The 20,124-nt window shown below is 41.3% G+C and overlaps 1 long non-coding RNA gene across 1 annotated transcript in view, besides 2 other annotated features; it reads right to left on the bottom strand.

Annotated features, from left to right (window-relative positions):
• Window positions 1-288: 288 nt before the first annotated feature.
• The window catches only part of LOC102723686 (uncharacterized), a 121,255-nt gene continuing 101,419 nt past the window's right edge, over window positions 289-20,124 (bottom strand). The window contains exon 10 of the long non-coding RNA XR_007060599.1: window positions 289-2,605. This is a non-coding gene — a long non-coding RNA (uncharacterized LOC102723686). The remainder of the gene's footprint in view (window positions 2,606-20,124) is intronic.
• Window positions 16,148-16,442: an enhancer, noted in NCBI's record as "tiled region #3392; HepG2 Activating DNase matched - State 9:DNaseU". NCBI's record gives its function as "activates a minimal TATA promoter and a strong SV40 promoter by Sharpr-MPRA in HepG2 cells {active_cell/tissue: HepG2}" and the evidence as "EXISTENCE:reporter gene assay evidence [ECO:0000049][PMID:27701403]".
• Window positions 16,148-16,442: a silencer, noted in NCBI's record as "tiled region #3392; K562 Repressive non-DNase unmatched - State 21:Repr". NCBI's record gives its function as "represses a minimal TATA promoter and a strong SV40 promoter by Sharpr-MPRA in K562 cells {active_cell/tissue: K562}" and the evidence as "EXISTENCE:reporter gene assay evidence [ECO:0000049][PMID:27701403]".

The following is a 20,124-nucleotide window of genomic DNA, read 5'->3' as shown; positions in this document are numbered from 1 at the left end:
GCTGGGACTACAGGCATGTGCCACCAAGCCCAGCTAATTTTTGTATTTTTAGTAGAGACTGGGTTTTACCATGTTGGCCAGGATAGTCTCGATCTCTTGACCTCATGATCTGCCTGCCTTGGCCCCCCAAAGTGCTGGGATTACCGGCGTGAGCCACCGAACCCCGCCACCACATTTTCTTTATTCACCCATCCACTGATGGACGCGTATGTTGACCCCATTTCTTGGCTATGGTGAATAGTACTACAATAAACACAGGAGTGCAAACATCTCTTTAACATACTGATTTCCTTTTCTTTGGATATATACCCAGTAGTGGGATAGGTAGGGTAGGAGAAGAGAAATGGGGAATAATACTAATGGTTATGGAATTACTGTTTTGGGTGATGAAAATGGTCTAAAATTGCTTATGGTAATGATTGTACAACTCTGAACACACTAAAAACCATTGAATGTTGATTTAAAAGGGCAAATTGTATGATATATGACTTATATCTCAATAAAGCTTTTTTTAATTAAAAAAATGCCTTGCTTTATTTCCAAACTCCAACCTAACTTTTCTCATACTACCTTGGAGAAAGAATAGTTTATTTTTAAATAACACTAGTTCCAACTAACCCTAAATTGCATTCAAGGTCAAATTCCAATGGGTCATGTTTCTGCTTCTCAAATCCATTATTCCTTTGTACTTGTTAATATTAGGAGAAGTCTCTCAAAACAGGCTTCCTTTATCGTAGCTGACTCCCTGCTCTCATCATACAGAAGCCAAGTGGCATTGGTGATACTGCTAAATGGGCTATCCAGAGCTAGTGACTCTAGGAAACCTATGGGGAGACAATAGGCCCAGTAATGGCTAGAGACTGGTGCCATCTCCACCGGGAAAACAATGGGAATAGCAGAGAAGCAGAGCGTCCACAACGCAAGTGCATTTATCCTCCCTCGATAGCTGCCTGGTCTCTCCCTTGTGGGAAAGAAAATAGATTAAGTAAAAGACAGAAAATCTATATCCACTATTTTTCTAAGTGGCTTATTATAGCCACATGGTATGTCTGTATTTATTAGCAGCCTTCACCTCTTGTCCTACTAGCGTCACACCATGACAGTGTTTGCATTTGCTCACTGCGCGTGGATTCGGAGATGATTGCTTCTGACTTGTTTGAGTGCAGAGAGGAACTAATTTGATTAGACAGAAAGCTGGAGCTGCCACAGCTGCCGTGGGAAGGAGCTGTCACCTATCCACTCCGTTGCATTCAAGTGTGCCAATTGTTCTCTGAAAGAAGGCCCAGTGATGCTGTCAGATGTCTTGGTCCTAAATACAACTGAACACAATGAAACAGTGATCACGCTAAGTGTGTTCTTTCTGTTATGCAATTTCCCAAGGTATGGAACTTATTTACCCTGGGATCCTAAAAGCTAAAAACTAAATAAATAAAAATTAAATTAAAGGAAGTGGGATTGGAGGGGGAAGGAGTAAAAGCCAAAAGAGATTAAATATTTAGATACGACTTTACCCATGCATGACACAAAAGCAGGCAAGGCCCAGCCCCTGCCCATTGGACACTGGATACTGGTTGACATTTTAATACCCGTTTTCCTTCCAGACCAAGCTGTCTCCCTTCAGTTTACAAGGCTCCCCAATTCAGCCTTCTTCTCTATCCTGCCCTCAAAGAGGTATTCAATTCATTAGCCTGAAAAGATAAGAGGTCAGAGAGGTTCACAAATGCTAAACACACACACACAGAGGCTGGGGAGTGGCCGAGGGGTCTTTGCATCTGGCAAAAGAGCAGGTGAGGAAAACAGATCTTGGTTCTAAATGTGTAGAACTAAGAGAGTCTTTTTATGGGAAATCAGATCACGTGTAATCTTCACTTCTTGACTTCCACAATGTATATGCCCCAGTGCTGTTCCTAGGCCAATTTGTGACGCACACCAGCGTGCACTGGCTTTAGTGAGGTTTTGTAATCATCTGTTTGAAATAGACTTTCCTCGTCCAGTCATTTCCCAAGCTATAACGGCAGCCAATGGCTGACTTTTCCTGCTCCTTGAAGATAGCTCTGGTTCCCTTAATATCTGACTGCACCACCCCTTTCTCATTCGTTGCCAGTGAAAGAAATATCATGTCACTGCGGAAGGTAACCAAGGAGTGATGGGCTGACCTTTCGGCAGGCACTTCCCAATAGTGCAGGGGTTTTAAAGTGTGACAAGAAAGCATCTAATTAGGAAGTCTGGAATGCATGTGTCTTCACAAGCACAGCTACACTTCTGAACCCTCTGTGACCACAGACTAAAAGAAAAATAGGTCCAAATCCACGCTACAGCAATAAAAATAAAGGAAGGGAGGAGAAGGGCAAGACCTCCACCAGGAAACAGTATAATTATTGCATCTTGTCTAAGAAGTTCCAAAATTCCTTATTTTCTACAATTTAACTTAATTTCAATGATGAGCTCCCATCTTTCTGAAATGGTATGAAACACAAGTCAACGTCAGCCATTCTTGTTCACCTCTGCCCAGGATCACTTCACAGTTCTGTGATCTGGCGCGGGGCCTCGGCACGAGACAGCCAGCATCTGTTCAGGTGGCTCCCTCCGGAGATGTCCACTGCTCCTGCCGGCACAAAATAGTCATTATAATGGCAGCCGGTGGCTGACTTTTCTTGCCCCTTAATGATGGCTCAAGTTCCCCTAACATGGACCTGCTCCTGTGTCATGTCTGGGCACAGAAGTCTGTGACAAGAATGGCAAGCCCGCACCTTTGGTGTTTCCTCCTCCTCCTCTTCTCGGAAGGCAGAGTCCAGTCACAGTGCCGGCCTTTCCCCTTGTCTCAGGACTCCAGCTCTCTCTATCTCCTGCTTTTCCAAGCATATTTGTATCCATTAAACCCTAGCCTCTCTATGCCTATTCTTTCACAGTAGACTCTGATGGCTCATCAACCCTGGAACTAGAAAAAAAAAATCTAGGCTATTTTTTCTCCAAATCAGAAAGGCCTCAGGGTTCAGGCCACCTCATGAGGCAAAAGGAAATGTTTGCATTCCATTTTTCCAATGCCTCAAAGACAAGGGAGGGGGACATCCAAAAATGTCCATACTACCACATTATAAACATTTATATCTACCATATATTATTTCAATAAGTCTAATAGATCTCCTCTACAAAAACAAAGGTTTGGGGGTTGGTACTTTTGTTTCTGTCTACTGCAAAGACAACCCACAATGACTGGCAGCAGAGTATAAGCCTTTGCTTTTTTGTTTGTTTTGTTTTGTTTTTTTGAGTTGGAGTCTTGCTCTGTTGCCAGGCTGGAGTGCAATGGCACGATCTCAGATCATTGCAACCACTACCTCCCGGGTTCAAGTGGTTCTCCTGCCTCAGCCTCCCGAGTAGCTGGGACTACAGGTGTGTGCCACCACACCCAGCTGGTTTTTTGTGTTTTTAGTAGAGACAGGTTTTCACCATGTTGGCCAGGCTGGTCTTGAACTCCTGACCTCAGGTGATCCACCTGCCTCGGCATCCCAAAGTGCTGGGATTACAGACGTGAGCCACCATGCCCAGTCCAGTGTATAAGCCTTTTCAAAAGACAGTGCTCTCACAGCTCGAGGGCCAGACCAGGACTGTGCCAGGAGCCTGCTGACCACCTGGCAGCATCGAGCCCTGGCCACCTGACTTCAGCTTCTCTCCGCTGCCTGTGTTCTACCCCCTTGCCCATGTTCTACCCCCTGCCTGAGTTCTCCCCACTGCCCAGGTTCTCCCCCATGCCCCGGTTCTCCCCACTGCCCCGGTTCTCCCCGCTTCCTGGGTTCTCCCCACTTCCTGGGTTCTCCCCACTTCCTGGGTTCTCCCCGCTTCCTGGGTTCTCCCCGCTGCCTGGTTTCTCCCTGCTGCTCAGGCTGTCCCCACTGCTTGGGTTCCCCTCCTGCTCGGGTTCTCCCCCTGCCCAGGATCTCCCTCCTGCTCAGGTTCCCCCCGATGCTGAGGTTCTCCCTGTTGCCATATTCTGCCTGTGGATTTGGCTGTCTCTGATATTAGCACCTACCTGGATCATAGCTCAGTTTGCCAATACATCAAATGCTGTTCACCAGATTGCCTAACTGTGCATAATGGGATTAGACTTGCAACTGGGTTGGTCTCCCCATCCCCATTCTACTCCACACCAGCCAGGTTGCTGAGGTCTCAGACCCAAGACCTGTGCTCTAGGTTACCCAGTTATTGCCACATGCAGACACCATGCATAGTAACCCACCAGAGGTCCCTGAGTTTCTCACTGACTGGCTTTGAGCTGGAGGTCAAAAACAGATTTTGTTTGTTCTAAGATTGTGCTGAATTGAATTGAATTGAACTGGATTGAATTGAAGACTCCTGGTTTCAATCTTAGAGGCCCTGGGCTATTTGTCAGTGGGGTTAAAATCAGGTGATTCAGGATAAATAGAAGACAGAAGGACTTGGTAACTACACATTTCCACATCATTGCAATACTTCTGGTCCCCTTACTAAAGCCGCTGTAAGGAAAGTTGCAGCTCACATTTCATCCTCTTCCCTCTCCATTTACTTATTCTGTGTCATATTTCATGACAGTCAGCAAGCTGCAAGTTCACTAACCTGAAAAACTAATTAGTTTCTCAACTAAGCTGTTAGAGGGCAAAAGTGTAACTGAGGTCACCACACTCAGATTAGCATGCCTTCCGGAGCCAGGGTGATGTAAGTGAAATGGGATAGAAGAAAATCTCTGAAGCACCTTGTACAGGTGGGGTGCAACTCAGTGTCCTCAACATCAACCTTACAGGACACCAGGTCTGGACACAAAGGTGCCCATCTGCTGCGATGGTATGTTTGACTTCCCCTCCCCTCACTTCCCCTACTAGAGAATCTCTGCCCAAGTCAACAGGGGCTCCGTGGGAAGCACCAGGGGCATTTGCAGAGGAAACAGTGTTGCTACTAATCTCATGAATGGCGCTGTGAGTGCAGGAATGTGACCACCTGTCTTCCCAGAAGGACCAGCCTTATAAGGAAGAACAAGGGGTGACTGACAATTATATTTCATTTATCGAAAAGCCAGTCAGCAAGAATCTTGTGATCAAAATATTGATTTTTATCATTTTTCAACAAATACTGAGAAAATTTTGGAGAAAACAAAAATTTCTCCTACTGTGAAACCTAAAGAGTGGTAGTTCCACTCTCCCACCCCATGCTCACTTTCCCTACTCCTTCTTCATTCATTCCTTCTCTTATACACACACACACACGCACAAACATGCACACACTTCTACACTCACACACTCTCACACATACACACACTCACATACACATACACTCACACACACACAAACACACAGACACACGCACACACACACGCACACAAAGGTACTGCTTCCACACAGTGGACTTATCAAGACATATTCTCAACTAAGATCAGTCTTTTTCATTAAAGGAATTTTCCTGCAAATACTGAAAACATAGCATCTTCTAATACATATATATGCACCTCTGAAATGCACTTCTGAAAAATGCACCTCTGAAAATGATGCAGAGGTGCATTTTCAGAGGTGCATTTTAGGAAGATGCTCTCGCTCCAATTCTGAGGACAGGATCTGTTGGATGAGTCTGGAGAGAGAAAGACAGATTAATCGCCCTCAGGAATAATCCAAGAGGAGACAGTGATGGTGTTAGGAAAGGAACATGCATTTTCCCTGGCCTCACGAACCTGCAGGTCCACTGAAGATCATATGAGCATTTACACCCACGGTCCATGGCACTACTTAGATTATGTGAGAGCTCAGCAATGTCGGAGCTCTCTGGTCAACCTGCACAAGTATTTCGGGTAGTTCTCAGGGTATCTCATACATTTGATTCTCAAACAAGCCCCAGTCCTGCAACTCTCAGGTCAAGCCAAGTGTATGGTTACGGGTGTTTCAAAGGATGTGTCATCATCCAGACTGCCAAAGCCTGGAGCTACCGGAACTGCCACGTGTTTTGATTTCTGCCCAGGGCCATTCTCTCCACGTTCAGTGCATGACGGAGAAAATGCCTCACATTCATGAGTAAAGAAGCCAGACACTCTGCCATCTTGACCTCTCTCTTTGTCTTGTCATTTGTCTGGTCTCAGAGAAATAAAATGCTTCTTTTTCACAGGCCCTCTACTGCCTTGCCAGTTATTTCTTGCAAGATGAGTAATCTCTTTCTGCTTCTAAATATCCAGTATCAGTGAATACTGACTTTTGCAATACCCACAATATTATAGCTGAATGTCCTTAAGACCCAAAGAAATATTTTCGTTACAATAATACATGCATATAATGAAAATTCAAACAGGAGAGAAAAGTTAAAGGATCAATATCCTCTGCCATAGACCCCACTTTCCCATCTGCCTTCCATATTTTAAAAGTAATTGCTCAAATAATTACTATTTGATATTACAAAGATTATGTACCATTAGACTGCCTCTGGCATAATCTTTACAATGCTACCTAATAATAGTGAACATTTATTACATATTTTATGTGTATTACATAACACATGCATTTATATACAGTAGTATATTAGTCCTCACAAAAACCCCGTAAGGTGGCACAATAATCATTGGGTAGGGTAGGACTCGAACGCAGGAAGTCTGGCTCCAGAGTCTGTCTGGAACCACTTTGTCTACAGCCTCTCAATATGTGGCCATCATATACTTATGATTTATGCATTTTAGTAACATCTGTTTACTCCCCACTACTCCTCATTTTCCCCTTCCTGTTCCTTCTAATTTTTACATCTTATTAGTTTCAATTCTATCACTGATTATTTATAGAGCTTTAAAAAACACTTAAACTTCTATTTTGGGGCCCTCAATTTGATTGTCTCTTGATTCTCTGTTATATAAAATAAGAAACTCAGTGCCTGTACAGGCTCTTCCAGCTCCCTTCATTCATTTTACTTCCCAAAAACATACAGTGTTATAACTATATTTAGTGTAAAGATTAACAACTGGAGATACAAAATAATGTGTAAATATTAAATCTCTCAGGCTTTCTCTGTAAATTGTTTCCAATTATGAAAAATCAACACAGCATTATTTATAATATTGATTATATTATTTATAATATTGATAGTGCAAAGACTGGCTACCATAGAATCAAGTAGTTAAACTGGCCTTATCAAGGAGGAAATGTAATCTGTGCTATTAAAAGTGTCATACAAAATAAATTGTTCCAAAAACACAGATAAAAGAGATTTTATTTTCTTACACCCACAACGTGCTCAAAATCTTGCTATGTTTTAGTTTGCTTTAACCTAGGCTCTAACTTCCTTAGAAAGCTGTTATTTTTTTTCTAGGATTTTTGGTACAAAAGAAGATATGACATCACCATTCCATAGATCACCGCTTTCCTAACCAAACTCTTTGCTTCACTCTTTTACCTTTTCCCTCCAAATCCCTTGTCTTCCTGCTCTAATCTGGACTAGGCATCTTCTAGGTCCACTTCACTCCCCTGTTCCTGGGACCTCTCTCCCTCTGCAGACCTCAGTTAGATTTACTGTTGTATCACTTGGCATTTTGCATGAGCACACTCTTGGTCGGTTGGTTTGTTTCCCAGAGGACAAAGTGAGAAATAACTTTTCCGAATCTTTACATATGGGAAATGCTTTATTTTGCCTTATCACTGGCTGTTTTGACTGGTAAAGAATTCTGTATTTTAAATCATTTCCCCTAGGTTTAAAAGTATTTGTCTCAAGTTACAGCTAGACGTGAGGCATAAATTCTAGTGTTCTGTAGCACTGTATGGGGAATATGATTAATAATAATTTAATGGATATTTCCAAAAAGCTAGAAGAGAGGATTTTGAATGTTCACAACACAAAGAAATGGTAAGTGTTCAAGGTGAAGGGTATGCTAACTACCTTAATTAGATCATTACACACTATATACATGTATCAAAATATCACTCTGTATCTCATAAATCAGTACAATTATTATGAGTCAACTAAAATTTTTTTAAAAAGAATGTTCACAGCCAAGAGCAGAGGCCAGAAACCAATAGCCTATGGGCCAAATGTGGCCCTCTGTTGTAAATAAAGTTGTATTGTATCAAAAAAAAGTGTGCACTCCAGCCTGGGTAAGAGAGCAAGACTCCGTCTCAAAAAAAAAAAAAAAAAAAAAGTACTTGTCTCATTTCTTCACAACAGTTCTGATAATCATATTCTTATTCTTTGCAGAAAATGGTGTGTGTGCTTAATTTGATTCTCTCTGGAGCTTTTAGGATGTTTTATTTGTGCCTGGTTTCTTACATTTTAATTATGATATATCTAGCTATCAGATTCCTTTCCATTCACATTGTCAGCATCCTGGGTCCTTTTAATAGAAGCCTTTCACCTTTTCTCAATGTAGGGAAGTTTTACTGTTTTACATTTCCTCTCCTATATTCATTCTCTTCTCTCTTTCTTGAACTCCCATTATATGATTGATCCCATGGATTAGTTTACCAGGACCTTGACTTTGCTATCATATCCTCCATCTCTCAGCCTTTTCTGCTCTATGCTCTGAAAATTGTTCATCACATTTTCTTTCACCTCTTGCTCTGAATTGCTCATTTTGGCAATCATATTTATACAAGACAAGACATTTTTCCTTTTTCATAGGGAGTCTTTTGTGCCAAATGCAATATTTTCTCAAAGCAAATTCAGGCAATAGAAAACATTTAAAAACATATTGTTGATAGTGTCCTCCAAAAGATTAATTTTTGCCCGTAGTTAATTGTTCTCTGAGTAAAATAAACATCACAAAAGAAATGAAGATTGTCTGTTCATATGTATTAACTACTGATCTGATCAGTTAGTGCTACAGTTTGAATGTTTGTCCTCCACCAAAACCTCACATTAAAATTTTGACTCTCAGTGTTGGTCGTGGGTCTTAATAACAGGTGTTTGGGTCATGAGGGTGGATCACTCATCAATGTCTTGGTGCTTTCCAAGTAATTAGTGGGTTCTCACTCATTAGTTCTTGCAAGAGCTTGTTGTTAAAAAGAGCCTGGCACCTTCCCCTCTGCGTCCTCTCTCACCATGTGATCTCTGTACATGCTGCTTCCTCTTCATCTTCTACTGTGATTGTGAGCTTCCTGAGGCCCTCACCTGAAGCAGAAGCTGGTGCCATGCTTCTTGTACAGCCTGCAGAACCATGAGCCAAATAAACCTCTTTTCCTTATAAATTACCCAGCCTCAGATGTTCCTTTATAGCAACACTAAATGACTAAGACAGTTCATATAGGTAACCGGAGCGGATTCCATCTGCTACTGATCCTTGCCTTAATGAGAGTGACTGAGCTTTGTGTGTTACCGGCGAGGTGTGTTATATGGCAGGTTCCACTTTAGGGCACCAGGCAATTAGGACAATCTCACTGTCAATGGCAAAATAAGGACACTTTACATTGAGATGCCAACACCCATCCTAGGAACTCTAGGAAGAGGTCCCACGTCTTCAGAAATGGTGTCACTGGTTTGTGCCTGGGTCTAAGTGCTTACTACCAGGTCTCAATGGGTTTGGGGTAAGTCAGTGGCACAGCTGCTCTGCAGGAGGAAGTCTAACTATTCAGTGTGAATTTCCCCTTCCCCACTCACCTCTATAGACCTGTTGATTCCATGCTTGTAACGTGCCCAGAGTCCTCCCAGCGAGACCAGCTCCCTCCTTCCCTGTGGCTTTCTCCAGCTTGCTCATACTGGAGCTTCCTTGGCTTTGTTTACCTACAAGTAGGATCCCATCCTCTTCCCATCTTTAAGGAATTTCCCAAAATTTCTGATCTTCTGATAAGGCTCTCATTAGAAGTTATTTTTGTACTTCTTTATGGTAACTTTAAAGTGATTTTGATGGAGAAGGGAGATAAAGACGTGAACTCAAGTGGCCATCATGAATAAGAAACACTAAAGAACACTTGAGGTTGAGATGTCAACACCTGCCCTAGGAACTCTAGGAAGTTCAAGTTCATACAAAAATGCAAACATATCTTGGAGTTATAACCACTTGCAGCCTTTTTCTGCTGGTATCTTAGTTAACACTGGGGCAGGTAATGAATGAATAACACACAGGACACAACCTTTTCCAGGCATTGGGCATTGAGAGAAAAAGGAAGACAGTGGTCTCTGGAGAAAAGAAAGCAAATAAGGACCTTGGCTAAGATCAGATTTACTCCTCTATTGATGGATATTGGGTTATTTCCACTTTTTTGGCCATTGTGAATAGTTCTGCTATGAACATTCACATACAAGTGTTGTCTGAATAAATATTTTCAGTAAATTTGGTCACATACCTAGGAGTGGGAATTCTTGGTCATATAGAAGTTAAGAAAATAGCTCATCGGTGTGGAGAAAACTGGCAGAAACTCAAATCACAGAACCAACCTCTCTGTCCTTTCCTTTTTATATCCCTCATCTACAAAATGGGTAGGATGTAAGAATAAAATGAAATTCTATATATCAAAATGTTTTTAAAAGTAACAATGGCGTTATAGATGTATATGTTTCACAAGGTCCATTTTGTCAAATCTGTCCCTTTAACTAAAACCCTTAAGTGTCAGTCCCATTGGAACACTACAGAGAATGTCACTCAGATAAAATCTTAGTCCTTTCAACAACTATAGGAGTAGGTTTAGAATAATTAGGTTAACCAAAAAGCTTGAAAGATTGAGCTGCTCTGTGCTACAGTTCACGTTCTTTAAGAGAAGAATAGTGCCATATAGGGTAAGACAATTAAAATTACTGCCTATATAGGCTAAGACAATTAAAATTACTGCCCTCATTCAGACCCCATGACTTTGGGAAGAAAAGGCAAGCAGAGGCTAATAGATGTCTGTAGAGGACTTTCATTTCCGTATTCCTATTCTTTTTTTTTTGAGACGGAGTTTCACTCTTGTTTCCCAGGCTGGAGTGCAATGGTGCGATCTCAGCTCACTGCAACCTCCACCTTCTGGGTTCAAGCAATTCTCCTGCCTCAGCCTCAAGAGTAGCTGGGATTACAGGCACACGCCACCATGCCTGGCTAATTTTTTTGTATTTTTAGTAGAGACGGGGGTTCCACTATGTTGGCCAGGCTGGTCTCGAACTCCCAACCTCGTGATCTACCCGCCTCGGCCTCCCAAAGTGCTGGGATTACCGGAGTGAGCCACCGCGCCTGGCCTCCTATTCTTTTTCTTAGGAGGCTGAGACTCAAATCTTTCCTGTGGAAACTCATTTTGAGTCTAGTACATGGTTTATTTTTCACATTCCCTTAACCGTTGCTTGTCCTTAATTTGGATTTTCAATTGCTTTAACATAAAGACTCAAAACTACTCTTTAGTTTGAAATTTGAGGATTTTTTAGTCTCTTTGGCTATGTCATATTACACTTTTATTAAATAGTAAGAAATCTATAACTTTTACTTGGTATCCATAAAGATGAAATTTATTTCAATTATTTTTCTTTTGCTTAAGTCTCCTGATACAATCATTCTTCGAACTCCTCTTTTATTAGTTGATTCTTTATATATATGCTTGAAACCATTTTCTGTATTTTTTTTGCAGCCTCATAGCTATTTCTTAGTAGTGATTCCTTCACTTTACCTAATTCCATTTCTAGAGCACTTGCATAGTCCAGACACCAATTGTACCGGGTGCTTTGAATCTCTTATTGGTCATGCTCATAACAAATCCAGTAGATGTCATTACCCTCATTTAACAGATGAAGCACAAGAGGCCAAGTTAAATATCTGCCTGGGCTCCCGCAGCTACCAATGGCAGAGCCAGGACTCAAGCCCAAGGTGTCTCCCTTCGAGCTTGTTGCTCCTTCCGTCACATTGCAGAGCCGCTGCAGCCAACAGCTCTATAATTCTAACCCACACTGCAACGCCCACACACGAAATTATCATTTCATCCAAAATGACCTTTATCATTTACAAAGCCACTGATTAGTCTTTAACATCCATTTTAGCCCTAACATTTGATATATGTGCCTCTTGGTTTGGTACCATTTTAGAAATGTTATGCAAGGGAATGATCGTCAATAATGATTCAGTCCCAGCACTAGAAAACAGCATTTGTCATTTTTAGCTTCCTTCCTTTTCAAACTCATATCCATCTTATTAAATGTCAGAAATCTACGACCACATCTCACATTAAAAAAAATCTAGAGGGTTATATGGAACCATTTCCTGAAGAGGTCAAAAACGCTTGATAATGAAGCAGTTGGGAGTTTGATTTGATAGACAGAAAACATAAGTGAATCACAGAAATATATTTGAGCTCACACAATTTGATGTGACAGGAAGGATATGTCTTATTTAAACCAGTTTTTAAAATTTCAACTCGCATTTGGTTTTCCAAGAATTTAGATGCAAGAGGGCTAAGTTGTCCCCCAACTAATCAGAACAGAATAGTCTCCAGGTATAGACAAACAGTAATATATTTAGAGGTGGGGGGACTGTCAGAAATTGTCTACCAACCATCTATAAATTAGAAGAATCTACTTGCAGTCGCTTGGTATTCTACCCAAGTGTTTGTCTGCTGACGGCAAATGCTCTCCTCTTTAGGGGCTGACATTGGCATGTATTGAGCTTGACTAAGTGAAAAACGGTTTCCAACACTTTCATGCTTAGTTTTAAATCTTTTTGGTATAAAAAGATGCTATGATGAATTTAGTTTAATAAACAAAATATAAGGCTGAGGTTAGAAGTGTCAAAACACACACAATTTCTTGACTGACAGGTCACAAGGAGCGGTGCCCTGGACACACTAGATATCATCTTCCCTCCAGTTGGCAAATTTACCCTTTCAAATGGCTGGATGTTTTTTATGCAATCTGTAAAAGAGGCAGAATCTCAAGGGAAACCTGAGCAGAATCTCAAAGAAACTGCTCTGTTCTACATGATGAGATTTTAGGTTAATGTAACAACAGCAACAACAAAAATCTATTTTCGAGATAACAGCACAGTCCTTGCACTGATATTTCCTGTTTCTGCTGAACTGGGGATGAGGGAGGGAATCTGTTCTCCTGGTGTGGCCAGGGTGAGAAAGTGTTGATGGTGGATGCTCACAGGAGTGGGAGCCAGACAGAAAGCCCCCAGGAAGAGCGCAGCCAGTGCTGCCCTTCCTCCTCCTCCTCCCCCTCCTCCTCCCCCTCCTCCTCCCCCTCCTCTTCCCACTCCTCCTCCTCCCCCTCCTCCTCCTCCCCCGCCCTCCTCTTCCCCCTCCCCCGACCCCCTCCTCCCCCTCCCCCCCTCCTCCTCAGGACTGCGGTCTCCCTCCAGGCCTCCCACTGGAAGATACTTCCCCATTCGCTGGGAACTCACTGACAAAGCAGAAATGTAGAAACGTGGCTCGCAGAATCCCAGACCCAGCATCAGGGAAGAGACTGGTGCACAGCTGGGAGAGTATCACCTCATAAGCAGTGCAGGTGGCCTGTCACAGCCGTGAGCAAGAAGGACATGGAAGCATGGACCCAAGACCAAAGGTGGACGAAGAAACTGTCCCCAGTGGCAGGTCCTGAACCACCCAGTCAGCTCTTCCTATTGTCTCGCATCTGGTGTCTGCAACACTGAAATTAGGGGTGTCGAGGACCAACCTGGAGGTTCAGAAGTAAAACTTCCCACCAAGGTGGCCCTCACAGTCCCTCAGCTGGTCACGACTTCAGAAGACTTCTTCCTGACCCTTGCCCCGACCTTCCTTTACTGAGAGCATTTACTTTAGAGAAGTCATAATTGTAAGTTATTTCTCTTCCCTTTTGAGATGTGAATCTTTTCAAAAGTCCTCTTGCCAGTTCTAAACCCAGAACTGTCTTTTTCAAGGACCTGGGAGCTGTCCCTTTGAGATGCAATTATCAAGGAAGATGGTGCTCTGTCTCCCAGTCTCCATAGGAGGTGGGTGCCTAATGTGCTCCGAGTTGTAAAACTACCTGCTGTCATGAAGACAGGAGAAAGTTTACTTTCCCTTGGAGTGAAGCAAACTAGAAACACAGATGGCCTACAAGCCCCACCCCAGCTCTTAAAAATTTCCCTGCCCTTTGTTTCAGCAAATCTGAGTATCTGGGCTTGGTCTGTGTTCTCTCCCCTGCTGCTCTTCATAGTGTGGGAATAAAACCAACTTCTATTTGCTCATCTTGTCCAGTGCAGTTTTTATTTAACAACACATTGAGGGTTTCTTAGAACCAGCGAGGGTCTTATGGCTGAAGGAATATTTTTCAGAATGTCATTTTAATCTGATGCCCAACATATTCACTAAAACAAAAGGGGGGAGATTAAAATTAATTTAAAATATTTTAAAAATAAGGTTTATCTAGTGCCAAAACATACAAACTTTACAGGGAAGATTCTTGCCACTGTATAGAGGTTTCATAAAAATCCTTGCATCATTGTCAAACCTTTACTTTTAACTTTAATTACCTGCTTTGCACTCATTCTGGAAATAGCCAGAATTCAGCACATAAAAGTAAAGGAAACGCACTGCTGCTGTCAACATGAAATTCCATTTTGCTTCCATAGAGATTTGCACCCCACACTCTAGATTAGAACTCATTCAATATATTTACATAATGTCATTGTCTCAAACTTAATGCATTCTGTTAAATAACATTACAGATAATTTTAAACTCACCTACAATCTCTATTGTTGTATTAAGAAATATACAAAGACTTAATGAAAATCCTATAAAATAAATAAGCAACAGCCAAACATTCACCTAGCAGCTCAGGTAATGAGGAAGAATCCAATGAATAAGTACAAGCCCTGGTAGGAAAGCAAGTTGTTTTGCATTCACACAGAGGCAGATAACACAGATTCTTACAGGACATTCATCATGCTCTTCTTTTTCTGTAATGCCCAAGTGGATTTGCTTTGAGCAAAACAAAGTCTGCAGTCATAACAGAATAACAACCTGCAGTGTTCTTCAAAACAATTATCTTATGTGTAAGTATTTTTCTAAAAAAAAATGCCATGGTTATACATTCAAAGTCAAATATGTAACAATCAAGAGATTCAAATCCCTTAATACAGCCAGGGAAGCAAGCTCTCGCAAAGCATGACATCAGGGAGCAGGGCCTCTGACATCACTGGAAAAACTTAAACATATAAGAAACTTCTGCCTCCAAATACAAAGAAAACAAAAACAAAACAAGGAAAATGACTTAGTACAGTTAAAGTTATTCTTCCTCATCTCAAGCCACAGAGGCTAAAGAACAGAGAACTTCTAAACATTGCATGTATTCCATTTGGTGGCAGGGTTGCAGGCAATAAGAGGCCCAAGAGGTCAACAGAGCAATCATCTTCTCACTGGGCCCATATCCCACTCATTCCCCTCAGGATTCTCAAGGAGGTGGCAACAGATCTCGATGGCATAGAATCCAAGAGGAGTGAAGGGGAGGAGAATCACAGTAAACAAACGGCCTCAGGGGGGTTGCACACCTAACAGTCATCCAGCGTTTGCTTTGACTTATTTAATTTACAGGAGTTATCATTTCAGAATTCTAGTTCTTAAGTTTTTTACATTTAACTTCTACGTCTTGTCATTCTAAGTCTAGAAATGCTAAAAATTACTCCCAAGAGGGCCTCTGAATAACATTCATTCCTATTTGCAAACATTAATTAACACCTTCGAACATTTAAAAGTGAATTCATAAATTTTTGGGGATTCCAGGTGTCTGACAAACCTCCCGGTTCTTAAGTAATTCTTAAAATTTCAATTAAGCTTAAAACCACAATGAACATAATATTTTCCTAATTATCCTAATATGATTTATGTTCTTGTGAGATTTTCAATAGGATACTTTAGACTGCCACTCTAAAGACCAACTTCTCCAAAACAGTACACGTAAAAACAAATTTAAACATGAAGTTACCTTAACATAAAATAGTATAATTAGTTCATAATATTTAAAATATTATTATACTTAATTCCAAATCTTCGAGACATGAAAGATGTTGAGCCATAGAGGATGACCATGACCTTCTCAAGGTTGCGTAAGGACAAAGGGATTTGAGAAAAGGTCAATTTAATTCTTATCTGTTTGGAGTGGTTACATTAACGACTCAGTTACTTCAAGAGGGAGACATAATTCAATACTACAGAGCTTCTTTCTGCTTAACATTTCCCAACAGCTAACCTTTGGCTCCTAATACCTGGGCATCATAGAATGTAAAGTACCTGTTGAGAAAGACAGTCGTGCACAGCCTGCAGACCCGACACAGCTGCATGAGGGTGTGCCGTGGACCTGGAACATTTCCTTACGTGGAGAGCAAGAGGCCTCAGCCCATGCTGTGCACATGGCCTTGTTTGGGAATGACTTTCCCTGTTCCACGAGCGATGTGCACTTTGCTCTGTTTAAACATGCATGTGTCATACAGCGTTGCGGGTGGGGGACGGGGGACGGGTCTTGTGCCTGTTGCACGAGATGGGTGTGGTGCATGCCGACCAGCTCCTGCTCAGGCTGTGGGGTGAGACTTGCAGGCCTCGGGGGACCAATACTGACTATCAAAGCTGATCTTGCTCTGTCTTTTCCCTATGTGAGCAAAATGCTGTTCCATCCAGTGCCTGTGTGAGTTGTGTCTTTCTTGGTGACCCTGACACCAGCAAATCACGTAGTGGGCTCAACCTGGGACTGCTGCTCCTGGTCCCCGGCCTTATTGGGCTCTTGCTCTCTTCCCTGCAGTGGGACTTCTGCCCTGGAGGTGGTAACCTGTGTTACTTGCTCAACGATATCTCACAATACAAAGTTTGGGGGCCTAGACTTACATAAGAAACATTGCCACGTACGTAACCAAAACCCAATACGATATTTTTATCAAATGAGTTTGGGAACAGTCTCAAGTTTCACTCCAAATACAGTGGTTAGAAGATTGGAATCACATATAGATGTTTTGGAAAGGAATACATGCTTCCGATTTTTATGTTACTATGAGAAGTTCTAATAAGCAGTTCTCTGAAGACAACTGTATGAATTCATAATCCGGTAGTAACATTTTTCTTTCTACATAATAGTTTGTTCCCTATATATAATTATTTGACTGTGTTTTAGCTACGGGAGTTGACTAATAATGTGTTTTAATTTTGTACATTTATTGGGAGCTTATTTCTCATTATTTGACATTTTTGCACAGAAACTCTGATGTTCAGGAACTGATTCGTTGTAGAAAGGAGATGCCTGTCCACTTGTCTACTCACAGAAGGCTGCCCTTTCCATCTAAGTTTATCATTTAGTTCCATTTTGCATTCCGTTGGCTGCTCATATGAAAATATCTTCTCAAGCCCTTTGAATTTGAAGGAAATTATACTTTTTTATTGTTGGAATCATACAACTCTTACATATATTAAAATAATACCAAGTTGAAATTTGGATTTCTCTAGTGATTTTATCTCATTTGCAAGTATAACCTGTAGCCTAATTCTACTGACATAAATGAAAACGGCCTTTTACAGAGAGCTTAGAACAACCTAATAACACAGCTTCTGATGAGCAGCTTGGCCTGCGTCTGCCCTGACCACAGAGCATAGATGTGATATTATAAGGGGGAGGGGAGAATGCGGCAGGCTTTCTGGAGGAAGCATTGTGAGTCCCCCACGTTACAAGATTCCCCATGCACTGCCATTCTTCCTCCTTTATTCATTCAATAGGATTGTATATCTGTGATGTTCTGGGCATGGAACAGGGGCTGGGGATGCAGCAATGACCCAAATGGATAAAGACCTCTACCCTATGTAGCCGACATTTTTATGGGGCAGAGGAAGCAGGTAATAAATTAAACAAAAATGAAATGCATCATGCATGAGGTGGTGGTAGGTACTGGAGAGGAAGATGCGAGAGATGCGGAGGACGACAGACGGTCCCTGCCAAGGTGCTCAGGTAACTGCGGTGGCTCCCCTGTTCCTCCCCCTACCCCAGTAGCCCAACCAACTGCTCCTCCCACCCCTCTCCCTAACCCTAACCTACCTGACCAGCGGCTGCTAACCCACAAGAACAATGGGTTCCTCCTCTGAATAACTGTTTTTAACCAACTACTGTCCTAAAAGTTGCAGAACTTTGGCTGGCATCTCTTATTAAAGCTCTATAAAAACTCCACCTCCCCCAACCCACCCCAACTTAGAATACTTCATCAGAATTGTTCTTGTGCCCCATATGCAAAATTCTAAATCAAGACTTACGAATAATGATGTTCTGGTGGATTTTCTGAACTGCTTTTGGTACCACGACTCAGATCGGGATGGAACCCCCTGCTGCTCAGACCGGGCTGCATTCAAGTATCCAGCACCCTAAAGAGCCTCTGACATCTTACCTCCCCAGAGTCCCAGTGATTGGTCAGCCAAGTGAGTCCCATATGACCAATTCAATTCTCTGTTCCCTTATACTGAAGGGACACGTAAGCCATTCACCTTTCCTCAGTGAGAAACATTGGTTTCTGAGAGATGATGTAGAGGTTTAGTGCTGAGATTCTTAGGGGCTGATTTTTTTCTATTGTTTGTCCTCATCATTTGAATATGTGATCTGGTGATCACCAATGATCTGGTGAAGCCCCAGGTCATTTTCCAACTTTTTATATGTACAAATGTTATGGTGCCAGTGATACCACATATTGAAGATTTGGCTAAAGTTTTACCAAAGACAGCCTGGAATTTCAGTGGATTGTCTGTATAACTTGAATTATTAAGAAAATAATTCACCTACCTTAATCTGTACCAGAGGAAAGGAGTTCAAATTGGAATTACAGAATTGAACATTGCAATAATATAAATTAAGAAGCATACAAATGGGTGTAATAAGGGATTAGACATAGGGAGGAGTTTGTCTAGCTGAAGGACAGGTAAGTAGAATTTTAGTGTGGAGAATGAAGGTTGGAGAAAATAAGAGGAGGGCAAATACAGATGTAAAGCATAAGTAATGTATAGTACATGGTAAAAAATGACATCATACTTGTAATTAGGGTCTCAATTGAAAAAGGAGAGATGGGGACACAATATTAGAGGAGATATCAACAAGAATTTTTAGAAACTAACAAAATACTCCAACTGATTTAAGAAGCGCTACAGATCTCAAGCAGGATACAGATGTAGATACAGATATAGATACATCTCTACAATGCTTAGTTCCATTATAGTAAACACCTGAAAATCAAAGTTAAAAAAAATTAAGGCAGCAGGAGAACAAATAAGTGCATTTCCTTCAAAGGAACAGCAATAAGATTGGCAGCTGACTTCTCGGAAGAAACAATGGATGGCCACAGAGTGGAGAGCTGGACAACGCTGCAGACACTAAGCCCCTAAGTGGAGAAGCCCTGTTGACTGTCTCAGGCTCAGCTGAGACCAGAAGAGCCACACCCCAGGAGTAAGAACCCTGTATTAGGACAGCTCTGGAAATTAAAAAGCAAGCAAAAGAAAAAACTGAAATAAATCAGTCCATACACTATCTGCCTAATGAAGGGAAACTTAACCTTCTTCAGAGAAAAAAATAGTATTATTCTGGATCTCTGCTAATTTTATTTCACAATGTCTCACATCAGTCACACATTTATGGTATTCGATTACAAAACTAAAAACCAGGTATAAAACCATGACAGCAGCAACAGACCCACAGGCGATACAGATACCAGAGTTCTCAAACAGGTTATTTCATGTAAACAAAACTATTATGTTCAATAAATTAGAGGAAAGGGTGCAAAATTTCACCAGAAACTTGGGGTCTAAAATTAATTAGGTAAAGAAATAGTCTAATGGAAACTCTAGCACTGAAAGGTACTAATTAATTAATTTAATTAATTTTAAAATTAATTAAAACTCAATAGATGATATATAGACAGATTGTGTACATATAGAGAGATTTTATATATATAATCTATATCTATAATATAGCTATAGATTATATACAGATATAGATTATATATAGTATATATGTATATATAGATATAGAGTATATATACTTATCTATATATATAGTAGAAAAGTATATTTTCTACTTTCACTAGAAAATATACAAACTAAAGCACAAAAAGACAAAGGGATTGGGGAAAATGGGGAGATGTTGATCAAAGGGTAGAAAATTTCATTTAGGCAGGGCGAATAAATTCTGCAGATCTGATGTACAGCATGGTGGCTATAGTTAATTATCCTCTATTGAATACATGAAATTTGTAAGAGAGTAGATTTTAAATGTTC

Source organism: Homo sapiens, chromosome 7, assembly GCF_000001405.40.
Source record: "Homo sapiens chromosome 7, GRCh38.p14 Primary Assembly".
NCBI lineage: Eukaryota > Metazoa > Chordata > Mammalia > Primates > Hominidae > Homo > Homo sapiens.
Note: the sequence above shows the minus strand (reverse complement) of the source record. Positions and strands in the feature narration are given on the sequence as shown.